Consider the following 6,044-nt stretch of genomic DNA (forward strand, 5'->3'; position numbering starts at 1 on the left):
AGGGAGACCAGCGGATCCACCCCCACCGCAAACAGCAGCAGCCGCCAGCGTGGAAGTGCACACAGAGGGTGCACACAGTCCCATGAGGCCGGAGCCCCGCCACCTTGCTAACACCACTACCGGTGCAAATGCGCACACGAACGCCTGCGGGGCTCCCGCGCACCCCACCCAGTCTTGCTGACGCCACCGCATTGAACACCGACATGGAGGCCAGCACCCCTGCACCCACTAGCATCCCACTGCAGTCAACAAATGTGTACATCCCAGAGGAAAAGACATCATTACATCAGAAACACACTTGCATACAAATGTTGATTGCAGCAAAATTCATAATTGCAAAGATGTGGAATCGACGTAAGTGTCCATCAGCTGATGAGTGAATGTGGCACATATACACAAGAAAACACTATTCAGCCATTGAACAAAATGAAATAATGTCTTTTGCAGCAACTTGGATGAAGCTGGGGGCCATGACACTAAGTGAACTAACTCAGCAATGGAAAGCCAAATACCATATGCTCTCACTTTATAAGTGGGAGCCAAGTTATGGGTAATCAAAGACATGTAAAGGGGTGTAATGAACACTGGAGACCCAGAAGGGAGAGAGGGGGTGGAGAGTGAGTAATGAAATACTATGTACCAAGTACAATGTACACTACTTGGGTGATGGGTGTAGTAAAATCTCAGGCTTCACCACTATACAATTCATTCATACAACTAGAAACCACTTGTACCCCAAAAGCTATTGAAATAAAATACATTTTTAAAAAAACTGTAATACAAGGCTACAGTAACCAAAACATTATGGCACTGGTACAAAAACAGACACATAGACCAATGAAACAGAATAAAGCCACACACCTACAACCATCTGATATTTAACAAGGCCAACAAAAACAGGCCTATTCAAAAAATAATCCTGTGATAACTGGCTAGCCATATGCAAAAGAATGAAACTGGACAGACCCTACATATCACCATATACAAAAATTAAATCAAGACAGATTAAATACTTTAATGTAAGATTTAAACCTATAAGAATCCTAGAAGAAAACATGGTGAAACCCTGTCTCTAATAAAAATACAAAAAAGAAAAAAAAGTAGCCTGGCATGGTGACAGGTGCCTGTAATCCCAGCTACTTGGGAAGCTGAGGCAGGAGAATCGCTTGAACCTGGTGGGGAAAGGTTGCAGTGAGCCGAGATCACACCACTGCACTCCAGCCTCGGCAGCAGAGCCAGGCTCCATCTCAAAGAAAAAAAAATAGGAAACATCTTCCTTAATACAGGCATTGGCAAAGTATTTACAGCTAAGTCCTCAAAAGCAATTAAACGAAAGCAAAAATTGATGAGTGGGACCTAATAAACCTACAGATCCAGCAAAGGTCTAATATTCAGAATCTGTAAGCAACTTACACAAATCAACAAGCACAAAACAAACAGCCCCATTAAAAAGTGGGCAAAAGACGTGAACAGACACTTTTCTAAAGAAGACACACATATGTCCAAGAAGCATATCAAAAAATCTTCAATATGACTAATCAGTAGGGATATGCAAATTAAAACTACAATGAGATACCCACACCACTCAGAATAGTTATTATTAAAAAGTCAAAAAATAACAGATGCTGGTAAGGCTGCAAAGAAAATGGAACAAGTGTTGGTGAGAACGTAAATTAGTTCATCCACTGTGGACAGCAGTTGGGAGATTTCTCAAAGAACTAAGAGTTGAACTACAATTCGGCCTAGCAAACCCATTGGTAGGTATATGCCCAAAGGAAAATAAATTATTCTACCAAAAAGGCAGATGCACCTATATGTTCATTGCAGCACCATTCCCAATAACAAAGATGTGGAATAAACCCAGGTGTTCATCCAACAATGGATTGGATATATGGACCATAGAATACTACACAGCAATCAAAATGGAAATCATGTCCTTTGCAGCAGCATGGATGGAGCTAGAGGTCATTAGCCTAAGTGATGCCATGTGGAAACAGAAAGCCAAACATAGCACATTCTTGTAAGCAGGAGCTAAACACTGGGCACATGTGGACATAGATAAGTGTCTGTTCATGTCCTTTGCACACTTTCTAATGGGGCTGTTTGTTTGTTGCTTGCTGATTTGTGTAAGTTGCTTCTAGATTCTGAATATTAGGCCTTCACTGGATCTGTAGGTTAATGAGGTCCCACTCATCAGTTGTTATTTTTGTTTAATTGCGTTCAAGGACTTAGCTGTAAACGCTTTGTCAATGCCTATAACAACAGGATGTTTCCTGTGATTTTTTTTTTCTTTGAGACAGAGTCTGGCCCTGGCACCGGAGACACTTAGAGTGGGGAGAGAGGGAGGAGGGCAAGGGCTGAAAAAGTGCCTGTTGGGCGCTATGCTCACTACCTGGGTCTACGGATTCATTCGTTCTCCAAACCTCAGCATCACGCAATATACCTTTCTAGCAAACATGCGTTATGTGCCCCCGCATTCTAAAATAAAAGTTGAAAACAATAATAATAATATGGAACTAAAAATTAATAGGCATGCATCTTAGCAATATAAACTCAAGTACAAAATGGAAGAGGCCCACGTTTTAGAGATTTTGAAATTTAAAACACCTATAAATGTGATTGTATATATAGGCATGTAGGGACAACTGGGCTTCATCTGTAAGAACTACAGGTGGAAAGTGGAGACTCCTTACTGGCCTGAGAGCAAGGAGACAGCCCTGAGTCTTGGTGTCTGAGGAGAAGAAGTATGTGTTTCTGTTCGATTCTTGGTCAGAAAAAGGTGTTATAAAGAAGAATCTTGGTTCCCTGTCTCTTTTCTCATGCCAGATACTTATAATAGTAACTATACATGTGTATATATATGTGTATATATATATTTGTCTTTATAAAAGCTCACATCTCCCAAGTATCACACAAAACCCTTTTTGTCTTTTTTTCTACACCCCATGGAGAAGTACAAACAGGATGTGATACTCTAATATCACTCAGTTTTCTAAAATAAGTAGGTTGCAATTTCCTATGAAGTGAAACTATTCCTAGTTCACATTGAGAAAGTACCAGATTCAGTTTCTCATAGGACCAACAATTGTCTGGACCAAGGGAAATTACAAATGGTCTGGTCTTACATTTTTCTCCAGCTACCTGTGATGATCTCTAAGAGTCTGTTGTTGCAGATAAAAAAGTATATCACTCAAGGCAGGGTGCAGTGGCTCACGCCTGTAATCCCAGCACTTTGGGAGGCAGAGGCCGGCAGATTATCTGAAGTCTGGAGTTTGAGTCCAGCCTGGCCAACATGATGAAACCCCGTTTCTACTAAAAATACAAAAATTAGCTGGGCATGGTGGCAAGCACCTGTAATCCCAGCTACTCGGGAGGCTGAGGCAGGAGAATCGCTTGAACCTGGGACGTAGGAGGTCACAGTGAGCTGAGACTGCCCTACTGCACTCCCAGCCTGGGCGACAGTGTTAGACTCTGTCTCAAAAAAAAAAAAATGTGTATCACTCAAACTGACACCTTCATGGATCTTAGAACCCTGATCATGTTCCCATGAGAATTCCATTCATTCCATTCAAGAAGATCTAACTTTCACATATACACCATGGAATACTATGCAGCCATAAAAAATGATGAGTTCATGTCCTTTGTAGGGACATGGATGAAATTGGAAATCATCATTCTCAGTAAACTATCGCAAGAACAAAAAACCAAACACCGCATATTCTCACTCATAGGTGGGAATTGAACAATGAGAGCACATGGACACAGGAAGGGGAATATCACACTCTGGGGACTGTTGTGGGGTGGGGGGAGGGGGGAGGGATAGCATTGGGAGATATACCTAATGCTAGATGACGAGTTAGTGGGTGCAGCGCACCAGCATGGCACATGTATACATATGTAACTAACCTGCCCAATGTGCGCATGTACCCTAAAACTTAAAGTATAATTAAAAATAAATAAATAAATAAATAAATAAATAAATAAATAAATAAAAAAGAAGATCTAACTTTCCTAAATATCTATGCATCCAACACAGCAGCACCCAGATTCATAAAAGAAATTTGTAAAGACCTTCAAAGAGACTTAGACTCCCATACAATAATAGTGGGAGACTTTAATACCCCACTTACAATAGTAGACAGATCATCAAGACAGAAAATTGACTAAGATAATCAGGACCTGAACTCAGCACGATAGATATCTACAGAACTCTCCACACCCCCAAACCAGAATTTACATTCATCTCATCACCACATGGCACATGCTCTAAATTCAATCACATAATTGGAAGCAAAAGACTCCTCAGCAAATTCAGTTTGTTACAACTGAAATTGGCACAAACCACTCTCTGACCACAGCATAATCAAATTAGAAATCGAGACTAAGAAACTCACTTAAACTCATACAATTACATGGAAATTAAACAACCTGCTCCTGAATGACATCAGGGTAAATAATGAAATTAAGGCAGAAAATAAGAAGTTATTACAAGCTAATGGGAGCAAAGATACAACATGCCGGAATCTCCGGGACACAGCTAAGGGGGTATTAAGAGGAAAATATATAGCACTAAATGTCCACATCACATTAGTTGTGATGACCTAACATCACAACTAAAAGAACTAGAGAACGAAGAGCAAACAAACCCCGAAGCTAGCAGAATACAAGAAAGAACCAAAATCTGAGCTGAACTGAAGGAGATTGGGTTCCTTCACACACAAAAAAATCATTCAAAAGATCAGCAAATCCAGGAGCTGGTTTTTTGAAAAAAATAATAAAATAGACTGCTAGCTAGACTAATTGAAAAAAGAGAAGACTCGAATAAACACAATCACGAATGACACGGGGAATATTACCATTGACCCCAGAGAAATACAAACAACCATCAGAGAATATAATGAACCCGTGTATGCACATAAACTAGAAAATCTAAAAGAAATGGGTAAATTCTCAGACACGTGCAGCCTCCCAAGACTGAACCAGGATGAAATTGAATTCCTCAACAGACCAATAATGAGCCTGAAATTGGTTCAACGTACACAAATCAATAAACAGATTCATCACATAAACAGAACTAAAACAAAAAACCACATGATTATATTAATGATGCAGAAAAGCCTTCTGATAAAATTTAACATCACTTCTTGTTAAAAACTCTAATTAAACTAGGTATTGAAGGAACATACTTCAAAATAATAAGAGCCATTTATGACAAGCCCACAGCCAACATCATGCTGAATGGGCAAAAGCTGAAAGCAATCCACTTGAAAACTGGCACAAGAATGCCCTCTCTCACCACTCCTATTCAACAGTATTGGAAATACTAGGCAGGGCAATTGGGCAAGAGAAAAAAATAAGGCGTATTCAAATAGGAAGAGAGGAAGTCAAACTATCTTTGCTGCAGATGAAATGATCCTGTATCTAGAAAACATCAACCCAAACATCAACCTGAGATCTTCTTAAGCTGATAAACAACATCAGCAAAGACTCAAGATACAAAATAAATGTGCAAAAATCACTAGCATTTATATACCAATAACAGTCAAGTTGAGAGCCAAATCAGGAATGCAATCTCATTTACAGTTTACACACACACACACAAACACACACACACAATACCTAGGAATACAGCTAACTAGGAGGGTGGACAATTTCTTCAAGGAGAACTATAAAACACTGCTCAAAAAATTAGAGATGACACAAACAGATGGAAAAATATTCCATGATCATGAATAGGAAGAATCAATATCTTAAAAATGGCCATAGTGCTCAAAGCCATTTATAGATTCAGTAATATTTGTATTAAGTTATCATTGAGATTCTTCACAGAACTAGAAGAATCATATGGAACCAAAAGTTTTAAATTTAAAAATTCATATGGAACCCAAAAAGAGCTCAAATAGTCAAGGCAAGCCTAAGCAAAAACAAAAACCGAAAACCAAAGCTGGAGGCATTATGTTACCTGACTTCAAACTATACTACAGGGCTACAGTAACCAAAACAGCATGGTACTGGTACAAAAACAAACACATAGACCAATGGAA

This window comes from Homo sapiens, chromosome 19 (assembly GCF_000001405.40).
Source record: "Homo sapiens chromosome 19, GRCh38.p14 Primary Assembly".
NCBI classification, from domain to species: Eukaryota; Metazoa; Chordata; class Mammalia; order Primates; family Hominidae; genus Homo; species Homo sapiens.